The following is a 23,317-nucleotide window of genomic DNA, read 5'->3' on the forward strand; positions in this document are numbered from 1 at the left end:
GGCGGGAGAATCACTTGAACCCGCCTCAGAACAGAGTGAGATTCTGTTTCAAAAAATAATAATAAAATAATAATAATAATAAATCTTAGCCTACATGCAGGAATGGGTAAAGGTCTCTTAAACAAAAATGGAGTTAATTATATTCATTCATTTGCTGTTCCGCTATCCCAGCAGCACCTTCTGAGTGATTCTCCTGTTGCAATCATCTTTATTTATTTATTTATTTATTTATTTTTATTTATTTTTTGACACAGGGTTTTGCTCTGTTGCCCAGGCTGGAGTGCAGTGGCGTGCTCTCGGGTCACTGCAACCTCTGCCTCCCAGGTTCAAGCTATTCTCCTGCCTCAGCCTCCTGAGTAGCTGGGACTACAGGTGCATGCCACCATGGCCCAGCTAATTTTTGTTTTTTTGTTTTGTTTTGTTTTGTTTTGTTTGAGACAGAGTTTTGCTCTTATCACTCAGGCTGGAGTGCAGTGGTGTGATCTCAGCTCACTGCAACCTCTGCCCCCCGGGTTCAAGCAATTCTCCTGCCTCAGCCTCCTGAGTAGCTGGGATTGCAGGCGCCCACCATGACGCCCCGCTAATTTTTTTGTATTTTTAGTAGAGATGGGGTTTCGCCACATTGGCCAGGCTGGTCTCGAACTCGTGACCTCAGGTGACCCACCCGCCTCGGCCTCCCAAAGTGCTGGGATTACAGGCATGAGCCACCACACCCAGTCTTAGTCATCGTAAAGGCTGGCAGCACTGTAGGAACAGACAGACCTCAATAGGAAACGGGGAAACCCTTCTTGCAGACTTTCTGTATTGCTGGGTAGTGAGGGGTAAAGTATTTCCCACCTTACCCCACTTAATCCTCATCTCTCTGGCCAGAGTAGGAGCAAAACAGGAACAGAGACAGGCTCCAGCCTGGGTGACGAAGAAAGACTCCATCAAATAAATAAATAAATAAGACTAATACATGTAAAGTGCTCATCGTACCTGGCACCTGGGTCAGTAATTATCATAATATGCACCGTGTCATATTGTTGCCCCACAGTCTGAGAAGTGAAGGAAAAAGCTCGAGACTGGATTCATCTCTGTTTCTATCATCACTACCCCCACCCAGGGCCCCTGGCAGGCCTGGCAGCCTGGCTGAGTGATGAGCAGAGAGGGTGGACCCTTTGCCTGGACTCCCCGCCCTCCTCCCACATCTGGGCCCTTTCATCTGTCAGTGGGCCATTGTGTTCCTGGCTAATGGGAAACAGGACCATTTAATTGGCGAAAGTGCTGGCATGAGGAAGAGCGTGCTGCCGGCAGTCTCTACCCAGGGCAGAGCCCTGCCCATGGCGGTCAGCCCGACGCCCGTCCTCTGTGGGGCTGTGTTCCACTTCCACATGCTCTTTGTCCTTTTGTAGCAGACTCTGTCTGGGTCCACTTTGATCAGCTCTGTGGGGCTCAGTTTGTTTTCACAAGGGGGTAAAACTTCCCCTGCCTACTCCACAGACATGATCAGGAGTAAACTAGTTAGCAAACATGAATTTAAGGCTGGGTACGGTGGATCACACCTGTAATCCCAGCAGCACTTTTTTTTTTTTTTTTGAGACGGAGTCTCGCTCTGTCACCCAGGCTGGAGTGCAGTGGCGCAATCTCGGCTCACTGCAAGCTCCGCCTCCCGGGTTCACGCCATTCTCCTGCCTCAGCCTCCCCAACAGCTGGGACTACAGGCGCACGCTGCCACGCCCGGCTAATTTTTTGTATTTTCAGTAGAGACGGGGTTTCACGGTGTTAGCCAGGATGGTCCCGATCTCCTGACCTTGTGATCCGCCTGCCTTGGCCTCCCAAAGTGCTGGGATTACAGGCGTGAGCCACCGCGCCCGGCCCCCAGCAGCACTTTGGAAGGCTGAGGTGGGAGGATCACTTGAGCCCAGGAGTTCCAGACCAGCCTGGGCAACAGAGCAAGACCCCCATCTCTATTTAAAAAAAAAAATGCTGGGAGCTGTGGTTCATACCTGTAATCCCAGCATTTTGGGAGGCTGAGGCGGTTGGATCACTTGAGGTCAGGAGTTCAAGACCAGCCTGGCCAACACGGTGAAACCCCCATCTCTACTAAAAATACAAAAAATTAGCTGAGCATGGTGGCACACGCCTGCAATCCCAGCTACTCTGGAGCTGGGAGCTGAGGTGGGAAAATTTCTTGAACCCAGGAGGTGGAGTTTGCACTGAGCCAAGATCACGCAACCACACTACAGCCTTGGCAACAGAATAAGGCTCTGTCTCAAAAAATAAATAAAAACAAAAATAATTGAAAAAGAAAACATGAAAATTTAAGAGCATAAAACATTAAACAAATTTAGGACTCAGAGAGCACACACCCACAACAGTATCTATCGAGTCGGAAGGGGATGAGTGAGCTGGAAGACCTCATGCTGGCTTACATCTCCAGCAGGGAAGGTCAGCCAGCGCATTCAAGGGCTGTGTCATTTGCACATGAATTCTCAAAGCCAGTTGCTAGATGAACTTATATAGGTGTTTGCTTGTTTGTTTTTGAGACAGAGTCTCACTCTGTCATCCAGGCTGGAGTGCAGCTCTATGATCTCTGCTCACTGTAACCTACGCTTCCCGGGTTCAAGTGATTCTCCTGCGTCAGCCTCCCAAGTAGCTGGGATTATAGGCATGTGCCACCATGCCCAGCGAATTTTTGTATTTTTAGTAGAGATGGGGTTTTGCCATGTTGGCCAGGCTGGTCTCGAACTCCTGACCTCAAGTGATCTGCCCACCTTGGCCCAAAGTGCTGAGATTACAGGCGTGAGCCACCGGGCCTGGCCTCATGTAATTTGATTTGTAGAAATGTGATCTTACTATGTTGCCCAGGCTGCTCTCAAACTCCCAGTCTCAAGTGATCCTCTCACCTTAGACTCAACGTATATGCTTTACTAAAAGGTCTTGACATCATAGGGAATGTTCCTTTTCTTCTCTGCACCTCAGTTTTCTCATCTGCAAAATGGAAAGGGGTGCAATTTCTGTAAATCATTAAGGGGCTATGAATGGGATTGTGAACTATGAAGCACTCTTTAAATATTAAAGAACAGGCCAGGCGCGGTGGCTCACGCCTGTAATCCCAGCACTTTGGGAGGCCAATGTGAGTGGATCACTTGAGGTCAGGAGTTCAAGACCAGCCTGGCCAACATGGTGAAACCCCGACTCTACTAAAAATACAATAGTTAGCCGGGCATGGTGGGGGGCACCTGTAATCCCAGCTACTCAGGAGGCTGAGGCACAAGAATGGCTTGAACCCAGGAGGTGGAAGTTGTTGCAGTGAGCCAAAATCATGCCACTGCATTCTAGCCTGGGTGACAGAGCAAGACTCCATCTCAAATAAATACATAAATAACATTAAAGAACACTGTTCTTGGCCGGGCACAGTGGCTCACGCCCGTAATCCCAGCACTTTGGGAGGCCGAGGTGGGTGGATCACCTGAGTTTGGGAGTTTGAGACCAGCCTGACCAACATGGAGAAACCTCATTTCTACTAAAAATACAAAATTAGGCTGGGCACGGTGGCTCAAGCCTGTAATCCTAGCACTTTGGGAGGCTGAGGCAGGTGGATCATGAGGTCAGGAGTTCGAGACCATCCTGGCTAACACGGTGAAACCCCGTCTCTACTAAAAATACAAAAAATTAGCTGGGCGTGGTGGTGGGCACCTGTAGTCTCCGCTACTCGGGAAGCTGAGGCAGGAGAATGGCGTGAACCCGGGAGGTGGAGCTTGCAGTGAACCGAGATCGTGCCACTGCACTCCAGCCTGGGTGACAGAGCGACACTCCGTCTCAAAAAAATTAAAAAAATAAAATAAAAATAAAAATAAAAATACAAAATTAACTGGGCGTGTTGGCACAGGCCTGTCATCCTAGCTTCTCGGGAGGCTGAGGCAGGAGACGGAGGTTGCAGTGAGCCGAGATCCCGCCAGCCTGGGCAACAAGAGTGAAACTCTGTTTCAAAAAAAAAAAAAAAAAAAAAAAGGACATTGTTCTTAGTGACAGTGTCATCTAGGAGAAGCAGGATAGGAGAGTCTAGGATTCTAACCCTGGGAGTTCCCACACAGCACAAAGCCAGTAAAGGAAGCCTCAGCCCAGGTCCATGCTTATCCCTGGGACTCTCAGGACAGGTTGTATCAGGAGGTTCCAAGACCTTGTGTCTGCTCCTCTACCCTGTGCTCATCTTTATTTATTTATTTATTTATTTTTGAGATGGAGTCTCACTGTCACCCAGGCTGGAGTGCAGTGACACAATCACAGCTCATTGCTGCCTTGAACTCCTGGGCTCAAGTAGTCATCCCACCAGGACTACAGGCATGCACCACCACATCCAGCTAATCTACATGTTTTTTGTTTTTTGGGTTTTTTTTTTTTGTACAGACGGGGGTCTTGCTTTCTTGCCCAGGCTGGTTTTAAACTCCTGATCTCAAGTGATACTCCCACTTAAGCCTCCCAGGTTGCTGGGATGATAGGCATGGGCCACTGTGCCTGGCTGAACTGGGCTGTTTTGAGATGGAGTTTCGCTCTTATTGCTCAGGCTGGAGTGCAACGGCACGATCTTGGCTCACTGCAACCTCCGCCTCCCAGGATCAAGTGATTCTCCTGCCTCAGCCTCCTGAGTAGCTGGGATTACAAGCATGTCCTACCATACCTGGCTAATTTTGTATTTTTAGTAGAGATGGGGTTTCACCATGTTGGTAAGGCTTGTCTCGAACTCCTCACTTCAAATGATCCAGTTGCTTCAGCCTCCCAAAGTGCTGGGATTACAGGCACGAGCCACCGCACCCAGCCTGGGCTATTTTATTTTGTAAATAACCTTCATCATTTTTGTGTCAGTATCAACTGAAGCTCCCTGCTCCTACCAGCTCACCCACACAATACGCAATGTGAGCTTAAGTTTTGCTAAAGACTATGTTTTATGTGTCAGGCAGGCACTTTTGCGGCTGAGGACCTGTGTAGGGGTAATGGGCCCTGGAAGGATGGGGCTTGATGAGCTGAGGGTGCTGGGAATTTTAGGGACAAGGACAGGAGGCAGGACGCCACTGGCCTCAGGAAGAGGAGCATGGAAAAGAAAAGAGAAGTTTAAACAAAGGAATGTGGGGGTGTTTGGCTCTGTACAAGCTGGGGGATGACATGAGCCTCTCCTCTGTCACCCCAGAAAAACCTCGCTACGTGCTGTGTGACATCAAGGCATCACCCAGCTTGGGAATCGGGACTTGTTTGGGAATTGAATGAAGTTCTTGAGAATGGCCTCAAGGCTAGCTACCCCTGTCATATTTGGGTAACATTATTTTTCCTTTTCTTTCTTTCTTTCTTTCTTTCTTTTTTTTTTTTTTTTTTTGAGATGGAATCTAGCTCTTTCACCCAGGCTGGAGTGCAGTGGTGCGATCTTGGCTCACTGCAACCTCCGCCTCCTGGGTTCAAGCGATTCTCCTGCCTCAGCCCCTCAAGAAGCTGGGATTACAGGCATGTGCCACCACACCCAGCTAATTTTGTATTTTTAGTAGAGACGGGGTTTCTCCATGCTGGTCAGGCTGGTCTCGAACTCCCGACCTCAGGTGATCCGCCCGCCTTCGCCTCCCAAAGTGCTGGGATTATAGGCATGAGCCACCACGCCCAGCTATTTTTTCTTAAAGATGGGGTCTCGCTGTGTCACTCAAGCTGGAGTGCAGTGGCATCATCATAGCTCACTGCAGCCTCAAACTCCTGGGCTCAAGCCATCTTCTGGCCCCAGCCTCCCAGGTAGCTGGGACTCCACAGGTGCATGCCACTGTGCCCTGCTTTTTATTTTTATTTTTGTAAAGACAGGAGTCTCACTATGTTGAGACCTATGCTGGTCTCAAATTCCTGGCCTCAAGGGATCCTCCCACCTTGGCCTCCCAATGTGTTGGGATTACAGGCATGAGCCATCACACCCGGCCTGGTTACATTTTTTAAAATACAAAATCAGGCTTCAAAGAGTCAATTAGTGGGTTCCCTAAAAAATCTGTCTTTTACCCTGTAGCTGTGGCCTGCCTCCCTTCCCTCTGTTTCATTTTCTGTGTTGCAGCGTCTTTTCTCCCCGGAAGAGATGTTGGTGTGTAAGTAGCAGCAACGGCCCCTCTGTTTAACGGTGGCTACCCCTCCCCGGATGACAGTCACAGGCCAGGCCTCATAGACAGCATTTTACTTTCCTCAAAGGTGGTCTGTTCTTTCCCTCGATGTATAGATATGACCGAGAACTTAGTCATGCCTGGATTCAAACCTGTCTCTGTGAATCTGTTACAGGAAAGGGATTTGATCTAAACCCCAAGAGAGGGTTCTTGAATCTCACTCAAGAAAGACTTCAGAGGGAGTCCACAGTGCAAAGCAAAAGCAAGTTTATTAAGAGAGTAAAGGAACGAAAGAATGGCCACTCAGGCAGGGCACAGTGGCTCATGTCTGTAATCCCAGCACTTTGGGAGGCCGAGGCAGGTAGATCACCTGAGGTCAGGAGTTCGAGACCAGCCTGTCCAACATGGTGAAACCCCGTCTCTACTAAAAATACAAAAATTGGCCGGGCGTGGTGGCAGGTGCCTATAATCCCAGCTACTTGGGAGAATGAGGCAGGAGAATCGCTTGAACCCTGGAGGCGGAGGTTGCAGTGAGCCGAGATCACGCCACTGCACTCCAGCCTGGGCGACAAGAGCAAGACTCTGTTTAAAAAAAAAAAAGAATGGCTACTTCATAGACAGAGCAGCCCCGAGGGCTGCTGGTTGCCCATTTATATTGTTATTTCTTGATGATATGCTAAACAAGGGGTGGATTATTCGTGCCTCCCCTTTCTAGACTACAAAGGGTAACTTCCTGACATTGCCATGTCACTCTCATCACCATCTTGGTTTTGGTGGGTTTTGGCCGGCTTCTTTTTCTTTTTTTTTTTTTTTGGAGTTTCATCCTTTTTGCCCAGGCTAGAGTGCAATGGCATGATCTCGGCTCACTGCAACCTCCGCCTCCTGGGTTCAAGCGATTCTCCTGCCTCAGCCTCCCGAGTAGCTAAGATTACAGGTGTGCGCCACCACGCCTGGCTAATTTTGTGTTTTTAGTAGAGACAGGGTTTCTCCATGTTGGGTCAGGCTGGTCTTGAACTCCCGACCTCTGGTGATCCGCCCGCCTCAGCCTCCCAAAGTGCTGGGATTACAGGCGTGAGCCACCCGCCAGGCCCTTGGCTGGCTTCTTTACTGCAACCTGTTTTATCAGCGAGGTCTTTATGACCTGTATTTTGTGCTGACCTCCTATCTCATCCTGCGACTCAGAATGCCTAACCTCCTGGGAATGCAGACCAGTAGGTCTCAGCCTCATTTTATACAGCTCCTATTCAAGATGGAGTTGCTCTGGTTCACATGCCTCTGACAAATCCAAAACTCATGTTCTTAATGCTCTGCCGATCCAAGCCCTTTTCCCTATTGCTGTAGGAGGGGAAGGGGTGAGCCAGGTGGACAGCACCCAGAAGTAAGGGGAGCTCTGCTGAAACCAGGGCTAAGCCTCCATCTTGGTGGGGGAGGGCACTGTCTGAGCCAGCTTGGATAAAAAATGGAAGGTCGGGGCCACCCCCCTAGAGACAGGTCTCTGGAGGGTCACTTCCAGGCTTGTTCAATTAAAAAAAAAAAAAAAAAAAAAAGAAGGCCAGGCATGGTGGCTCACACCTATAATCCTAGTACTTTGGGAGGCCAAGGCAAGATAATTTCTTGAGCAATCCTCCTGGGTTGAGGCCAGGAGGTCAAGACCAGCCTGGGCAACATAGTGAGACCCCATCTCTACAAAAAAAGTTTTTTTTAATTAGTTGGGAGTGGTGGTGTGCTCCTGTAGTCCCAGCTACTCTGGAGGCTGGAGTGGGAGGATCGCTTGAGGCCAGGAGTTCAAGGCTGCAGCGAGCTGTGATGGCACAACTGCACTCCAGCCTCGCGACAGGGTGAGACCCTGTCTCAAAAAATAAAATAAAAAATAAAAAATAAACTGCACAGCACCTATGACCTCAGCAAATTCTCCCAACAGCCCTGGAATGGAGTTATCACTCTCACCTTCGAGAAGAGGCTCACAGAGGGACACGGCAGGCTCCAGGTCACAAGGCGGCTCAGGACAGTGCAGGATGAGCCCTTGTCTGGAGCTTCAAATCTCATGCTCTTGCCTCCAGCCCAGCTACCTCTAGAAAAAAAGAAGCGCTCTGAGAAGAGCCTGTAGGGAGCCAACATCTGTGGCAGAGGCTGGCTGGGGCTGCGGGAGCAGGGACAGGAGGTGTCTGGTCCCTGCTGAGCGAAAAGGAGAGTTCTGTAAGATGGATAGGGAGTATTGGAGGCCCCCACCCTCTGCCACCAGGCTTGATTGATGAGCACAGTCCTGCTGCCAGAGATGAGCAGGGGGGGCCCCTGGAGGCTGCAGAGGGGAGGGCGAGGAGAGGCTATGAATATTTCAGCGACAGAGGCCGGGCTGGAGGAAAGGAGGGGAAGCGGGGCAGGGAGGCACTCAGCCAGCGGGAGGGGGCTCAGGGACTAGGACACCCAGGTGAGGAAAGACCCACATCATTGAGCCAGGGCTCGGGGAGGGCGGAGATAGGCCAGGAGGAAGGGGCTCTTTAAGAAATTAGAGTTTGCCGGGCGCGGTGGCTCACGCCTGTAATCCCAGCACGTTGGGAGGCCAAGGTGGGTGGATCACAAGGTCAGGAGTTCAAGACCAGCCTGGCCAGCATGGTGAAACCCCGTCTCTACTAAAAATACAAAAAATTAGCTGGGCGTGGTGGTGCATGCCTGTAGTCCCAGCTACTCGGGAGGCTGAGGCAGGAGAATTGCTTGAACCCAGCAGGCGGAGGATGCAGTGAGCTGAGATCATGCCACTGCACTCCAGCCTAGTCGACAGAGTGAGACTCCATCTCAAAAAAAAAAAAAAAAAAAAGAAAAAGAAAAAGAAAAAAAAAAAAGGAAGAAATTAGAGTTCGCCGTGCGCGGTGGCTCACGCCTGTAATCCCAGCACTTTGGGAGGCCAAAGCTGGCAGATCATCTGAGATCGGGAGTTCCATACCAGCCTGACTAACATGGAGAAACCCCATCTCTACTAAAAATACAAAAATTAGCGGGCACCTGTAATCCCAGCTACTCGGGAGGCTGAGGCAGGAGAATCACTTGAACCCAGGAAGCGGAGGTTGCAGTGAGGTGAGATTGCAGGAGACTGCAGCAGGCAGAGGTTGCAGTGAGGCGAGATCGGGCCCCTGCACTCCAGCCAGGACAACGGAGTGAGACTGAAAAAAAAAAGAAAGAAAAGAAAAGAGAAATTAGGGTTCAGTGAGAGAAAGGAGGGGTGGGGATGGGGTTCCCAGAATAGGACAGTAGGGTTAGGGGCACAGGGATCAAATGGGGGGTTCACTGAGGGGGAGGGCTTCAATGAATGGGGCTAGGATATGGAGGGGATTCAGTGAAGAAGAGGAGCCTCATCTAAGGAGTAGCCACACACACCCCACCCACGACTGCAGGGTGGCTCATGCCTGGAATTCCAGCACTTTGAGAGATCAAACGGGAGGATCGCTTGAGGCCAGGAGTTCGAAACCAGCCTGAGCAACATAGTGAGACCCCGTCTCTGCAAAATTTTTCAAATTAGCCAGGGTAGGGGTCCACGCCTGTAGTCCCAGCTACTCAAGAGGCTGAGGAGGAAGGATCGCTTGGGCCCAGAAGTTCAAGGCTGCAGTGAGCTATGATCCCACCGCTGCAACCCAGCCTGAGCAACAGAGCAAGACCCTATCTCCAAAATTAAAAAAAAAAAAAAGAGGAGGGGGCTTACTGAGATGGTGAGAACTCAGAAGGGGTGCGGGCTAAATAAGGGGCTCGGTTATCTCCTTCTTTTTTGCAAAAGATTGTACCGTGAGGTCGGGGACCTGTAGGGGATGTGCCCCGTTGGGTTCCCCAAATCTCTGCCTAGCCCTGTAAGGCCAGGGGCCGCAGTTACCCCTCGCCCCTCCCCCAGCCGGGTAGCAGCCCGCAGACTTGCGGGGCTAGGTCAGGCCCCCTGCGCCGAGAAAAGGGGTGAAGAAAAGTCGTCCCGAGACTGGTGGTGAGCGTCCCTGTCGCCGGCAGTGTGGCGGAGACCCCGCGGCTGACCGAGGGCGCTGAGCCGGGCCTGGAGTACGCGCCCTTTGACGATGACGACGGCCCAGTGGACTGTGACTGCCCGGCCTCCTGCTACCGCGGCCACCGCGGGTACAGGTCAGCGGCCGCCGCGGCGGGGGTGGGGGGCGCGCGGGGCTGCCCCCCCTCACCGCCCCCACCCCCGCCCCTTCTCCCCCAGGACCAAGCATTGGTCTAGCAGCTCGGCATCGCCCCCTCCCAAGAAAAAGAAGAAAAAGAAAGGCGGCCACCGGAGAAGCCGGTGAGAACCGCGCCTGACCGGAGCGGGAAGGGAGGAGGAGGTGGGGTCTCTCCCCGGATGCCCGTCCCTGGCTCACAACCATGCAGCATTTGTGAGCCCCGCCCCTCTCTGAGCCCCTCCCTCGCCCTCCCCGTGCCGTCCCCCGACTAGGTGCCCTCCGGGTAACTGAACCCACCCCAGGCCTCAAGCTCCTCCCCTCGCTAGGCCCCGCCCCTCGACAAGCCCCTCCCCTTCGCTAGGTTCCGCCCCCCAAGGAGCCCCTCCCCTTCTCTGGGGCCCGCCCCTCACCGAGCCCCTCCCCTTCTCTAGGACCCGCCCCTCATCGAGGTCCTCTCCCCACTAGGCCCCACCCCTCATCGAGCCCCTCCCCTTATCTGGGATCCGCCCCTCACTGAGCCCTTCTCTAGCACCTGCCTCTCACTGAATCCCCCAGAGCCAGACTCACTGACCGGGCCCGTGTGTTACCAGCACCTGCTCCCAGTCCCCCTCTGCCCTCCCAGGGGTCCCGTGCCCACCAACACTAGTGCGAGTGGCCCTGGGGAGGAGGGGCCTCATCTGCCATCCCCGAATCTCTCTGTCCACCCTCCCCTGTCCTGCGTGAGACCCTGGCAAGTGTCTGGGGCCCCAACTAACCCCATCCATCCGTCTGTCCTTTCTTCCTGGCATCTGCCCTCAGCAAAAAGAGGAGACTGGAGTCCGAATGCAGGTCAGTGGGGACAGAGCTGGCTGGGGCCAGGGCGGGGGATGTCTGTGGGTGGGAGAGATTCCAAGGCCATCCCCCAGAGGCCGGAGGCCTGGACCCTCAGGGCCTGCACCTGGACACTGCCAAGGTGCAAGTTTTGCCCCTACAGAGGCCGTGAATCCCACCGTTGGAGCCTCTGACTTCTGGGTTTGAAACTATCTTTGCCCACAATGCCAGGGGGGACATTGTTGTCCCCACAATTGTGGGGACAACATAGGCAGCGCCATCAACTACCCTGAGGGACCTTGGCGACCCTTGGGGCCTCGGGTCACTCTGTACAAGGGACCTTGGGCTTCCTGGCCTGGAATTCCCTTTCCAGCTTCAATGTCCCAAGCACCCAGGTCTCTCCAGCCATTTCCAGCCCCCCACCCCCCACCCCAGCTCACTAGAGCCCACCTCCCTGTGTCCACAGCTGTGGGAGCTCCTCACCCCTCCGCAAGAAGAAGAAGAGTGTGAAGAAGCATCGCCGAGACAGGTACCCTTGCTGCCCCCACCCTGGGGCCTCCTCTTCCTCCCGTGGGGCCCAGGGCCAGGGCTGTGGCCCTCCATAGGTCTCCCCTGGGCCACCCCAGGCAGGCTCAAGAGAACTCCTTTATCGCCCTACAGGTCTGATTCTGGGTCCCGGAGGAAGAGACGGCACAGGTGAGCGGCGCTTTGCAGAGGACATGGTCAGTGGTCCCTTAAGGACCAAAGCCCAAAGGACGCAATGATGGGAGGGGGTTTTGAGGGTCCCACAGGGCTCCATCCTTCAGCTCCAGGGTTCCTTCCCACAGCCAGGCTGCGGGGACAGGGCAGTGGAGAAGGAGCATGAAAACCAACTGTTTGCAACCCTTGCCTGCCCCATGCATCAGCCATGACGTGGTGACCCCAAGAATTTCTAGACAACATGGCAGGTCCAATGCCCAAGGGGTGTGTCTGTCTGTGGAGGTGCCAGTTAGACAAGCAGAAACACCGAGACCCTGAATTTGCAGGGAAACAGCTCGCGAGGCAGGAGGACCTCTGTGAGCTGGGAGGGCTCCATGGATAGGAGGCAGGGTCGGGGAGCTGTGGCTAGAGGTAGAGTTTCTCGGGGACAGGTGCTAGCCTCCCAACAGGTTTGACTGCCAGGTTATGGAGCCATCCTCCACCCAGGAGGGCTGGGGGTTAGTGTGGGGGAGCTCTGAGCAGGGCAGTGGCTTGTTCAGGGTGGACTGGGGGAGGGGAGAGGAAGTGAAAGGCAGGAGTCCAGGTGGAGGCAGAGTGGTGCAGGAGAAGAGGGTTGCTGAGAAAGCAGAAAACAGCCTGAGCCAGGCACGGTGGCTCACACCTATAATCCCAGCACTGTGGGAGGCTGAGGCAGGTGGATCGCTTGAGGCCAGGAGTTTGACACCAGCCTGGACAACATGGTGAAATCCTGTCTCTACTGAAAATACGAAAATTAGCTGGGTGTGGTGGCAAGCGCCTGTAATCCCAGCTACTCGAGAGGCTGAGGCAGGAGAATCACTTGAACCCGGGTGGCGGAGGTTGCAGTGAGCCAAGAGATTGCAGTGGAGTGCACAGCACTCCAGCCTGGGTGACACAGCGAGACTCTGTCTCAGAAAAAAAAAAAAAAAAAAACAAAGTCTGGGTGTGGTGGCTCATGCCTGTAATCCCAGCACTTTGGGAGGCCGAGGTGGCTGGATCATTTGAAGTCAGGACTTTGAGACCAGCTTGGCCAACATAGTCAGTCTCTACTGAAAATACAAAAATTATCTGGGCATGGTGGCGGGTGCCTGTAATCCCAGCTACTTGGGAGGCTGAGGTAGGAGAATCGCTTGATACTGGGAGGAGGAAATTACAGGGAGCTGAGATCGCACCACTGCACTCCAGTCTGGGCGACAGAGCAAGACTCCATCTCAAAAAAAAGAAAGAAAGAAAGAAAGAAAAGAAAAGGAAAGGAAAAGAAGGGAAAAGGGAAAGGAGAGGAGAGGAGAGCTCGGAAGGAAGTTGTGGGGCAGTCACATTCCAGAGGTGGCATCAGAGCCAGACCCCCTTCCAGCAGCCCAGAGGAAGGGCAGAGTCTGGAGTTCCTTCTTTGTAGTGGGAATTTGCCAAGTAGGGGAGGAGCCTACATAAACACCTAATCCTGCCCCTCCAATGTCCCCAATTTTTCATCTTCCCCTGGCCTCCCAGTGTCTATGGATCAGTGTGGGTCCCTACTGCCCCCAAGTGGCCACCATTAGCTTACACACACCCTCTGGCCAGCTCCCATCCTTCCTGGACAGGTCCTAAAAGTGAACTAGGAATAGACCAACTTCCAATGGGGAGACTGAAGCCCAAAGCAGGCTCCAGCACCCAAACCCATAGCCTCCGGGCCTTCCCCGCAGTCACTCTGCTCCTGTGGGAGCACATTTCTGTGTTCCTTAGTATGGCTTTGTTTTGGGGTCAGAAGGACTGAAGGGATCTGGTGGCACCAGGGAGGATGGGGCTGAGGATTGGGGTTGGGTGAGACCTTTGAGGGCTAACCAGAAGCTTCTCAGGCCTTTCATCAAAGGTAGAGGGTGCTGGGTTGGGGGGCTTGCCCCAGAGGGCTGGATGGGATGTGACAGGAAGCTGTGGGAGTTGGGAGGGGGCAGCCCTGCAGATGGATCCAGAGATGTCATTCAAAAGCAGGGAGATTGGCCAGGCACGGTGGCTCACATCTGTAATCCCAGCACTTTGGAGGGCTGAGGTGGGCAGATCACTTGAGGCCAGGAGTTCGAGACCAGCCTGGCCAACATGGTGAAATCCTGTTTCTACTAAAACAAACAAACAAACAAACAAAAAATAGCCAGACGTGGTGGCAGGCTACTGTAATCCCAGCTACCTGGGAGGCTGAGGCATGAGAATTGCTTGAACCTGCAAGGTGGAGGTTGCAGTGAGCTGAGATTGTGCCACTGCACACCAGCCTGGGCAACAGAGCGGGACTCTGTCTCAAGACAAAAAAAAAAAAAAAAAAAAAAAAAAAAGCAGGGACATCATGCCCTTGGGAAAGCATTTCTTTCCTAAACCCCTGGTGAGCTGGCCTAGGGCTGGGCCAGTCTGGGAGCACACGGAGGAAGGGGGCACAGGAGGTATGATTATCAGGCCACACCCCAATACTCAAGGGAATGAGTATTGGGCATGTCCCAAGTCCAGTACCAAAAGACAAGAGCAAATCACCATTTCTATCTGGCCCAGACCTAAGGCTTGAGGCTGCCACACCTGCAAACAGCAACCCCTGCCTTTTTTTTTTTTTTTTTTTTCCTGAGACGGAGTTTCACTCTTATTGCCCAGGCTGGAGTGCAAAGGCGCGATCTCAGCTTACGCAACCTCCGCCTCCCAGGTTCAAGCGATTCTCTTGCCTCAGCCTCCCTAGTAGCTGGGATTATAGGCACACACCACCACGCCTGGCTAATTTTGTATTTTTAGTAGAGACTGGGTTTCTCCATGTTGGTCAGGCTGGTCTCAAACTCCTGACTTCAAGTGATCCACTGGCCTCAGCCTCCCAAAGTGCTGAGATTAAAGGTGTGAGCCACCATGCCCGGCTATAGCACCCCACTTTATCTGGGGCCAGCCACACTTCTGTGGCCCTCCCAGACTGGGCAGCATTTGCGACCCAGGGAGGTGTTCACGGGCCAGGACTTCCAGGAGGAGGAAGGCCGGAGCTTTGGCTGAGTGAAAGGGACAAAGGGGTGGAGTAGGATGGAAAAGTCCCCGCCAGCCATGGGGCTTAGGCCCTAGAGTGGAACAAATCTCAGATCCACACCTGAGTATACCCAGGCTCCAGGGCACGAAGGCCACACCCTCCCCGGGCCACACCATCACTGTGGTCTCTGCTCTCTGCAGATCTCGAAGCTCCAAGTGCAAAAGAAAAGAGAAGAACAAAGAGAAGAAGAGGTAAGCGCCCTCCCTACTCTCCAGCCCCCCATTCGTTCTCCCTCCCGCCCCAGCAAACTACGCCTTTTAGAATCACAGAATCAGGCCATTAAAGGTAGCTCATTTTGCCCAGATGGAAAAATTAAGATCTAGAAAGAAAGCCAAGGGCTCTTGCTGAGTCAGAGCTTGAACCAAAACCCAGGCCTCTTGCCTTCCAATCCAGGGTCCTCCCAAGCCCAGTCCTCGTGACTCCCACCCTCCTTCCTCCCACCCCACAAGTCCCAGGATCACCTGCTGAGGGCTGAGGGGGGTCTTGGGAGGCTGGGGTTGTCTAGAGAAAAGGGGGCCTTTTACTAATTCTCACAGATGACCCATATGGACCAGATAGGCTCTGCAGCCAGCACCAACACTGCTGATGTACCTTTTATAGGAGACTTTAGGGGACTGATGAACACTGGCTTTCAGTAGGGTTCCACTGGGATCCTGGTGGGAGGCTGGGCAACTTGGGGGCTGGGGGGATCACGGGGGGCAGAATTGAGGTACAGGCTGATTTCCCCCATCCACGCCAGGCCTCACACAGAGTCCCCAGGCCGGAGGTCTCATCGCCATAGCAGTGGCAGCTCCCACAGCCCCTCCCTCTCCTCCCACTACAGTGATTCCAGATCTCCCAGCAGGTAGGCCTGGGCCTCTGGGAGGCTTTCTCCTGGTGGGGGATGAGGGTTGCAGATTAAACACCCCCAAGGGCTGGGGAGCAGGGCTGGTGGACAGAATGTCAATTCATCGGTGGGTAGAAGTTTATCAGGGGTAGCCAGGTGTGGTGGCTCACTGCTGTAGTCTCAGCACTTTGGGAGGCCAAGGCAGAAGGATCGCTTGAGGCCAGGAGTTCGAGACCAGCCTGGGCAACATAGACTTCCTTCTTTAATTAAAAGTAATAATAATAATTATTACTTTTATTATATATAATTATATATATTTAATATTTATATATATTTATATATTTAATATTTATATATTTTATATATTTAATAAATATTTATATATATATATATATATATATATATATATTTTTTTTTTTTTTTTTTTTTTTTTTTTGAGACGGAGTCTCGCTCTGTCGCCCAGGCTGGAGTGCAGTGGCGGGATCTCGGCTCACTGCAAGCTCCGCCTCCCGGGTTCACGCTATTCTCCTGCCTCAGCCTCCCAAGTAGCTGGGACTACAGGCGCCCGCCACTACGCCCGGCTAATTTTTTGTATTTTTAGTAGAGACGGGGTTTCACCGTTTTAGCCGGGATGGTCTCGATCTCCTGACCTCGTGATCCGCCCGCCTCGGCCTCCCAAAGTGCTGGGATTACAGGCGTGAGCCACCGCGCCCGGCCTTATTTATATATTTAATATATATAAATATTTATATATTTAATATATATAAATATTTATATATTTAATATATATAAATATTTATATATTTAATATATTTATATTTAATTATATTATATATTTATATATTTAATATAAATATTAACATATTTTAATATAAATATTAATATATATTTCAATATAAATATTAATGTATATTTTCATATAAATAATATATTTAATATATTTATATATTTTAATTTATATATATTTATATATCTATATATAAATATAGATATATATTTTAATATTTATATATATTATAAATATTTATATATTTTATATATTTATATATTTAATATATAAATATTTATATATTATATATTTAATATATAAATATTTATATATTAAATATATAATATATAAACATTTATATATTATATATTTTATATATTTATATTTAATTATGTTATATATTAATATATATTTAATATATTTATATATTATATATATTATTATATATATTTATATATATAATATATATTTTGAGACGAGTATTGCTGTGTTGCCCAGGCTGGAGAGCAGTGGTGCAATCTTGGCTCACTACAACCTCCGCCTCCGGGATTCAAGCAATTCTCCAGCCTCAGCCACCCGAGTAGCTGAGATTACAGGCGTGCACCACCATGCCCGACTAATTTTTGTATTTTTAGCGGAGATGGGATTTCGCCATTTCGAACAGCCTGGTCTCGAATTCCTGACCTCAAGCGATCCGCCTGTCTCGGCCTCCCAAAGTGCTGGGATTACAGGCGTGAGCCACCAAGCCCAGCCTAATAATAATTTTTAAAAAGAGAAATTTACCAGGGGAGTGATAACTTGAGGAAGAGCTGCCCTAAGGCCCCTAAGCCTCCGCCTGAATTGGAAATCGAGGCACAGCCTCGCTGGCTCACCCTGGTCAAGCCCTCTCTAAGTGGAAAGGTTCCCAGCATGGTGAAAAGGCAGGTGGAGGGCTGCTCTCTTTCCCCGTGCTGGGGAAGGGGGAAAGAGGAGGCGCAACTGCTTGCAAAGCGGGTGTCCCACGCCGACTCCCCCATTCTTCCTGGCGCCTAACCCCAGGCTGAGCCCCAAGCACCGAGACGAAGGGCGAAAGACGGGCAGCCAGCGGTCCAGCGGAAGCCGGTCGCCTTCCCCGTCGGGCGGCAGCGGATGGGGGTCGCCCCAGCGGAACGGCGGCAGCGGGCAGCGGAGCGGAGCGCACGGGGGCCGCCCCGGCTCGGCGCACAGCCCGCCCGATGTACGTACGCTTCGCTTTGCGGAGGGTTCCCGCGCCGCGGGCTGCGCCGTGCGTGGTCGGGCGGGTCGCCAGCGGGGCAGGGGGCGATAAGTGTGGCATGGGGGCGGGGGCGGGGGCGGCCGCTTCCTCCCTCCTCGGCTCCCCGCTGGGCGTCCTGGCTCGGGAGCCGCCGGGAGTGCTAGGCCGTTGCGCCCACCTGGCCCTGGTGTCAGGGTGAGGGGCGCCTGCGGTCTTGGGCCACCCTTGCGCTTGGCAAACTGAAGGCCAGAGGGGGGTTGACCGCGGGGCACTGAGTTGGGTACAGGGCTGGGGAGGAATCAGGGTCTCGTGCCCTCCCCAGGCATATTAGGGTGGGAGGGGCATGGACATTGATAGGAGTCCCAGGCAGGAGCAGGATTCGAGAGACAGGACCCCCCACTGGGCACCACCTGGGCCCTGAGTCTCCCTCTTCCCACCAAGCCCTGGCCCCACCTCTGAGCACCCCCCTCCCCCTCCCTCAATCTTCTCCCCAGCCCCTCCCTCCCTCAGCCCCCTCCCCCATCTCAGTCCCTCTGCCCTCTAAAGTCCCTGCTCTGAGGAGACTCTGCCCTTTTCCAGGCACCGCCCACACTTGGACTGGTGTCTCAAACCTGCCGGCTCCTCTTCCCACGGCCACCCTCCTGAGGCACCTGCCAGCGTGCCTCAGAGACCCCACACCAACACCCCCAAAACTGTCCCCACCCTTCCTCCAAGAGGGGCACAGATGCCCGAAGACCTACAGGCAGGTGCAATGGGGGAGCTGGCAGAGGAGAGAGACGTCTCAGCCTGTCCCCAGATGGATGGGCTGGGCCTGGGTTGGGGCTTCTCCCAGACCCCAGGGAAGGTCCACATCCCCTTCTGGTCTGTTGATTATAGAGTACACAGTTGAGACCCCTCAGAGAGAGGGGGCTGCAGTGCTGGCAGGGGCACTGGGGTGGGTGGGGGGGTGGCTTGGGGTGGGGAGACCTGCAGGTTCCTTCCCAGACCCGCAGACTGCCCCCCACCCAACCCCAAAGCCTCAGCTGGGAGTGGGAGAGCTGCCCCTCCCCAGACCTCAGGTCTCAGCAGCAAACATGTACGTGTTGGTCAGTTTCATTTTGATTTTTGGCTGTTTCCTTTCACTCCCTTTCTTTTCTCAAACACCCTTTACTCCCACGGCCTCAGAGAGGAAAGTCAAGGGCAGCTGACTGAAGGCTCTTGGTCTCAAGGTTAAGTTTTATTGAAGGACATTTACCTGTCTCTAGACTGTCCCACCTGGACCAGGCACCAGGCTCCTGGGCTCTGGGGGTTTTGGTTGGGCCGCGCAGGGAGGATGACACTGATGTCCCCGGATCTGTCTTGGGAGGGGGTTGAGGGCAGGCAGAGGTAGCTGAGGGTAGCATGGCAGAGGCTGGAGAGGATTAACAACCCACAAGAGGGGCACCCACCATCCCCCACCCCTGTGGGCATGGAGTCCCAAGAGCACAGGACCCGAAACACCTTCTTGCCAGCTTCTCATCCACCCTTCTGGGGCCTCCCAAGAGACACAGAGATGCGGGTTCTCTGAAGTCAGGGCTGGAAGTGGGTCCCTTCGTACCTCTGGTCCTCTCTCCAGCCCTGGAGTCCTGAGCAATGATCCCACCTCCACCCCCTCCCCAATGCAGACAAAATGGCCACAGCATCTAGGCATCCCCAGGATAGGGCAGTCGGGGAAGGGGACCCAGCCACCAGCCTTGGGGCGGGAGCTTCTGAAGCACCCACATCTTGTCTCCCTCCCAGCATGGGACTCTAGTTTGGCACAGCCCTGGGAGTTTTCTTGGAGACGGCATTTTGTGACTCCTTTCACCAAGCATGGTCCCCAAATCCTATCCCTCACCCTTGGGGCCCTGGGAGATCTGGGACTTCAGAGCATCCCGGGTCTCAAACCTGCATTCAGATCCCTGCCTCTCTGCCTTAAAAAGACCCCTGAGGAGTCAAAAGAGGCTAGTTCTTGCTCATATGCAGAAAAGTGAGATGGGGGATGGGAGAGGGGTCCCAGACTTTACCATGAACGAAACCGTCTTCGGGAAAAAATACTGGGGGTGGTATTCTTGGACGATACCTTTAAAAAAAAAAAGAAAAGAAAAAAAGAGAGAGAGAAACAAATGGAAAAAAAGGAAAGCTCAACATTTTTTAACCCCGTCTATGTTTTTGTTTGTTTTTTAGCCTCCCATTTGAAACGTGGTAATACTGTGATTCCATTTCTTGTTTAGCTGGTGAGGGAAGAGGGTGGGCAAGTTTATGTAACTTTTTCTGTTGTTTTGTTTTTATTTCCTTTTCCTTTCTTTTTTTTTTTCCCTATTTTAATGTACAGAAATGCAAACTATCTCTCTGGGTTTTTTTTTTCTATCTTCTATGTTCTAGAATTTTCTTTTTGTGTGTGTTACTGTGGGAACCTTTCCTCTTAATGCAGAGATGGCTTTTGAATTTTAAGTGAACATTAATCATATACACATCTCTATATACTTTTTTTTCCTTTGTAATCTGAATTTAAAAGGGAAGATAACTCTAAAAAAAAAAATCACTCCCACACCAACAGCTCCTGCCAAGTCAGCAGCGGCAGCAAATCCTCCTTTCAACTCCAGGCACAGGCTGGAGCTGCCGCAGATTTTAAATTAACTATAGTGGTGCAGCCTGTGCTGCTGCGTTCCCCAGGAAGCTGGAGAGAAGCGGGAGACCCAGGGAGGGGAAGAGACTTGTCCTGGGTTGCCCAGGGAGCTTCTTGGAGCTTGCTGCTACTCCTCGGTTCAGTTTAGTATAATGGGCTGGACACAGGGGACAGGGAGCAGGACAGGCTGTTCAGGACCATCAGTGTCAGACCTCAGACTCAGATCCTTAGGAAACTGTGGAGGAAGGAGAGATCTGAAGGCACCTGGCAGAGTTTAGCTGAGACACTTCAGGCAAGCAAAAAATTCCATCTTGGGCTGGGCACAGTGGCTCACACCTGTAATCCTAGCACTTTGGGAGGCTGAGGGGGGCGGATCACCTGAGGTCAGGAGCTCAAGACCAGCCTGACCAACATGATGAAACCCCAGCTCTACTAAAAATACAAAAATTCGGCTGGCCATGGTGGCTCACACCTGTAATCCCAGCACTTCGGGAGGCTGAGGTGGGCAGATCACCTGAGGTCAGGAGTTCGAGACCAGCCTGGCTAACATGGCGAACCCCCGTCTCTACTAAAAATACAAAAAAATTAGCCAGGCATGGTGGTGCATGCCTATAATCTCAGCTACTCGGGAAGCTGAGGCAGGAAAATCACTTGAACCTGGGAGGCAGAGGTTGCAGTGAGCGGAGATCATACCACTGCACTCCAGCCTAGGTGACAGAGTGAGACTCCGTCTCGGAAAAAAAAAAAAAATAGCCAGGCGTGGTGGGCACCTGTAAAACCAGCTACTTGGGAGGCTGAGGCAGGAGGATCGCTTGAACCCAGGAGGCAGAGGTTGCAGTGAGCTGAGATTGTGCCATTGCACTCCAGCCTGGATGACAAGAGCGAGACTCTGTCTCAAAAAAAAAAAATCCATCTTGATCTCGAGACTGAGGCCAGTGATGTGGTTACTCCCAACAAACCCCTTTGTTGGCCCATCCCAGGTGATGGTTGAACCCCACAGGACTTTCTGGGTTCTGATGCTTACAGGAGAAACTGCAGCTCCGAGAGGTCAAGTGACTGGCTCAAGGTCACACAGCTATTTAGAGGTAGATCCAAAAGTAGACCCCAGGCAGGGCGCAGTGGCTCACACCTGTAATCCCAGCACTTTGGGAGGCTGAGGCAGGAGGATCACTTGAGGCCTGCAGTTCCAGACTGACTGGTCAACAGAACAAGACTGTATCTCTACAAAAAATATATATATATTTTTAATCAGCCAGGCATGGTGGCATGTGCCTATAGTCTCATCTACTGAGGGAGATGAGGGAGGAGAATCACTTGAGCTCAGGAGTCCAAGGCTGCAGTAAGCCATGATTGCACCACTGTACTCCAGCCTGGGCAACACTGCAAGACCCTGTCACTACAAAAATTTAAAAGAAAAAGCTGGGCATGGTGGAATACACCTGTAATCCCAGCTACTCAGGAGGCTGAGACAGGAGGATTGCTTGAACCAGAAGTTTGAGGCTGCAGTGAGCCATGATTGCGCCACTGCACTCCAGCTTGGGCAACAGAGCAAGACCCTGTCTCAAAACAAACAACAACAACAACAAAAAATAGACTCCAGCCCTCTGACTCTGACCTCTAGACTCCAGCTAAGCTGTGGAGAGGGTGGAAAATGGGAAGCACAGTCCACGAGCCCTGAGCAGAAGGAGGATTTGGGAGGTGGTTGCTGGTTGACTCAGCTCCTGCTTTCCCCCATCAGACCCATCCAGAAATCAGCTTCCTGCTCTCTCATGTCCCTAGGCCAAGGTCTGCCTACACTGAGAGACCTGGGTGCAGGTGGCCCCCACATTACAGAAACTCATATGATTGTTTCTTCTGTGACTCAGGGAACCCTAAACCCTCACAGTTCATACATGTGGGGAAATAAATATCGAGGCACAGAGAGGGAAGAGAGTCACTCAAGGTCACACAATGTAGGATGAAAGAGGAAGATACTGATCAGGAGACCTCCTGGGAGAAGCCCTCCTGTCCAGTCTTACCTGGTGCCTTCACTGGCCTCCCTCCAGCCCCCACCAGCACAACCTGGTGCTAGGCTCACCCTCCCAAGGCCCAAAAAGAGTATACAGAGTTTGCCGTCTTTTCTATTTTATTATTGCATTCCTGTCCCAGGGGCCACCTGCTCACCTTAGAAGTCTCTAGCGTTAGAAGTTTCAGGGGATGGGGCAGGCACAGTGACTTATGCCGGTAATGCCAGTACTTTGGAAGGGCGAGGCACGAAGATCGCTTGAGACCAGGAGTTTGAAATCAGCCTGGGCAACATAGCAAGACCCCTATCTCTACAAAAAAAAAATTTTTTTTAATTAGCCAGATGTGATGGTGCATGCCTACAATCCCAGCCACTTGGAAGGCTGAGGTGGGAGGATCACTTGAGCCCAGGAGTTGGAGGCTACAGTGAGCTATCATCCTGTCTGTAGTCCCAGCTACTCGGGAGGCTGAGTCAGGAGAATCACTTGAACCCAGGAGGCAGAGGTTGCAGTAAGTTGAGATCGCACCACTGCACTCCAGCCTGGGTGACAGAGCGAGACTCCATCTCAAAAAAAAACCCCAAAAAACAAAAAACCCTACAGTGTCCGGGGCTGTCTGGAAGGTGACACCCTTAGGTGAGGGTGGCAGAGAAGGCTCAGGATCATGGCCTTGGGGCTCTCTCTGGCTTCTCCCTGTGGTCCAAATTTTATCATGTAATGGGCAGCCTCGGGTGACCCCCAAGAAGAGGTGCCAAGGCACCCCCTGACCTGCCTTATACAGGAACAGAAAAAGGCAAAAGGGATGAATTTTGCTAAAAGGATGCCAAAGCCAGAGGGAAAGGAGTGGGACTGACCTGAGGCAGGGCCACTCCTCCAGATCGGCTCTGTGGTTGCCTTCCCTTTTAAATGCGCGTTTTCCCTTCACCCATCTGTCCACTCCGATTGGCCTTGTTTAAACAGTGCTTGTCTCCTCTTTCTGTCTGGGGGCACCTTTCTCTCTTCCTGCCTCTCTGTTTCTGTTTGCTTCTGTCATTGTTTCTGTCTTTCTG

The 23,317-nt window shown here is 52.1% G+C and overlaps 1 protein-coding gene and 1 long non-coding RNA gene across 3 annotated transcripts in view, besides 9 other annotated features; one reads left to right on the forward strand and one right to left on the reverse strand.

Annotated features, from left to right (window-relative positions):
- The window catches only part of SRRM3 (serine/arginine repetitive matrix 3), an 85,392-nt gene that overhangs the window by 47,919 nt on the left and 14,156 nt on the right, over nucleotides 1–23,317 (forward strand). For both annotated transcript variants that reach the window (NM_001291831.2, NM_001110199.3), the window contains exons 4-11: nucleotides 10,092–10,220; nucleotides 10,303–10,383; nucleotides 11,060–11,089; nucleotides 11,538–11,600; nucleotides 11,732–11,767; nucleotides 14,951–15,001; nucleotides 15,550–15,654; nucleotides 17,444–17,621. In NM_001291831.2, coding sequence (NP_001278760.1) covers nucleotides 10,092–10,220; nucleotides 10,303–10,383; nucleotides 11,060–11,089; nucleotides 11,538–11,600; nucleotides 11,732–11,767; nucleotides 14,951–15,001; nucleotides 15,550–15,654; nucleotides 17,444–17,621 — 673 coding nt within the window. The remainder of the gene's footprint in view (nucleotides 1–10,091; nucleotides 10,221–10,302; nucleotides 10,384–11,059; nucleotides 11,090–11,537; nucleotides 11,601–11,731; nucleotides 11,768–14,950; nucleotides 15,002–15,549; nucleotides 15,655–17,443; nucleotides 17,622–23,317) is intronic.
- Nucleotides 680–9,782, reverse strand: LOC124901679 (uncharacterized). Its single transcript, XR_007060392.1, has 3 exons — nucleotides 9,105–9,782; nucleotides 8,052–8,175; nucleotides 680–2,973 (listed from the first exon to the last, which is right to left on the reverse strand). It is a non-coding gene; the product is annotated as an uncharacterized LOC124901679 (long non-coding RNA).
- Nucleotides 2,323–2,523: a silencer, noted in NCBI's record as "peak6611 fragment used in MPRA reporter construct". NCBI's record gives its function as "represses an SCP1 promoter by STARR-seq MPRAs in K562 erythroleukemia cells {active_cell/tissue: K562}" and the evidence as "EXISTENCE:reporter gene assay evidence [ECO:0000049][PMID:32103011]".
- Nucleotides 4,952–5,150: a silencer, noted in NCBI's record as "fragment chr7:75884084-75884282 (GRCh37/hg19 assembly coordinates)". NCBI's record gives its function as "represses an EF-1alpha promoter that drives an FKBP-Casp9 reporter gene in an ReSE screen in HepG2 liver carcinoma cells {active_cell/tissue: HepG2}" and the evidence as "EXISTENCE:reporter gene assay evidence [ECO:0000049][PMID:32094911]".
- Nucleotides 10,377–10,671: a silencer, noted in NCBI's record as "tiled region #1121; K562 Repressive non-DNase unmatched - State 4:PromP". NCBI's record gives its function as "represses a minimal TATA promoter and a strong SV40 promoter by Sharpr-MPRA in K562 cells {active_cell/tissue: K562}" and the evidence as "EXISTENCE:reporter gene assay evidence [ECO:0000049][PMID:27701403]".
- Nucleotides 10,656–10,735: a silencer, noted in NCBI's record as "silent region_18308". NCBI's record gives its function as "represses an Ori minimal core promoter by ATAC-STARR-seq in GM12878 lymphoblastoid cells {active_cell/tissue: GM12878}" and the evidence as "EXISTENCE:reporter gene assay evidence [ECO:0000049][PMID:35858748]".
- Nucleotides 11,624–12,147: an enhancer, noted in NCBI's record as "H3K4me1 hESC enhancer chr7:75890756-75891279 (GRCh37/hg19 assembly coordinates)". NCBI's record gives its function as "activates a minimal SCP1, AML or CMV promoter by ChIP-STARR-seq in naive H9 embryonic stem cells {active_cell/tissue: H9 hESC(naive)}" and the evidence as "EXISTENCE:reporter gene assay evidence [ECO:0000049][PMID:30033119]".
- Nucleotides 16,890–17,635: an enhancer, noted in NCBI's record as "H3K4me1 hESC enhancer chr7:75896022-75896767 (GRCh37/hg19 assembly coordinates)". NCBI's record gives its function as "activates a minimal SCP1, AML or CMV promoter by ChIP-STARR-seq in naive H9 embryonic stem cells {active_cell/tissue: H9 hESC(naive)}" and the evidence as "EXISTENCE:reporter gene assay evidence [ECO:0000049][PMID:30033119]".
- Nucleotides 16,890–17,661: a biological region, named in NCBI's record as "H3K4me1 hESC enhancer GRCh37_chr7:75896022-75896767".
- Nucleotides 17,532–17,661: a silencer, noted in NCBI's record as "silent region_18309". NCBI's record gives its function as "represses an Ori minimal core promoter by ATAC-STARR-seq in GM12878 lymphoblastoid cells {active_cell/tissue: GM12878}" and the evidence as "EXISTENCE:reporter gene assay evidence [ECO:0000049][PMID:35858748]".
- Nucleotides 23,203–23,312: an enhancer, noted in NCBI's record as "active region_26194". NCBI's record gives its function as "activates an Ori minimal core promoter by ATAC-STARR-seq in GM12878 lymphoblastoid cells {active_cell/tissue: GM12878}" and the evidence as "EXISTENCE:reporter gene assay evidence [ECO:0000049][PMID:35858748]".

Source organism: Homo sapiens, chromosome 7 (assembly GCF_000001405.40).
Source record: "Homo sapiens chromosome 7, GRCh38.p14 Primary Assembly".
Classification (NCBI taxonomy): Eukaryota; Metazoa; Chordata; class Mammalia; order Primates; family Hominidae; genus Homo; species Homo sapiens.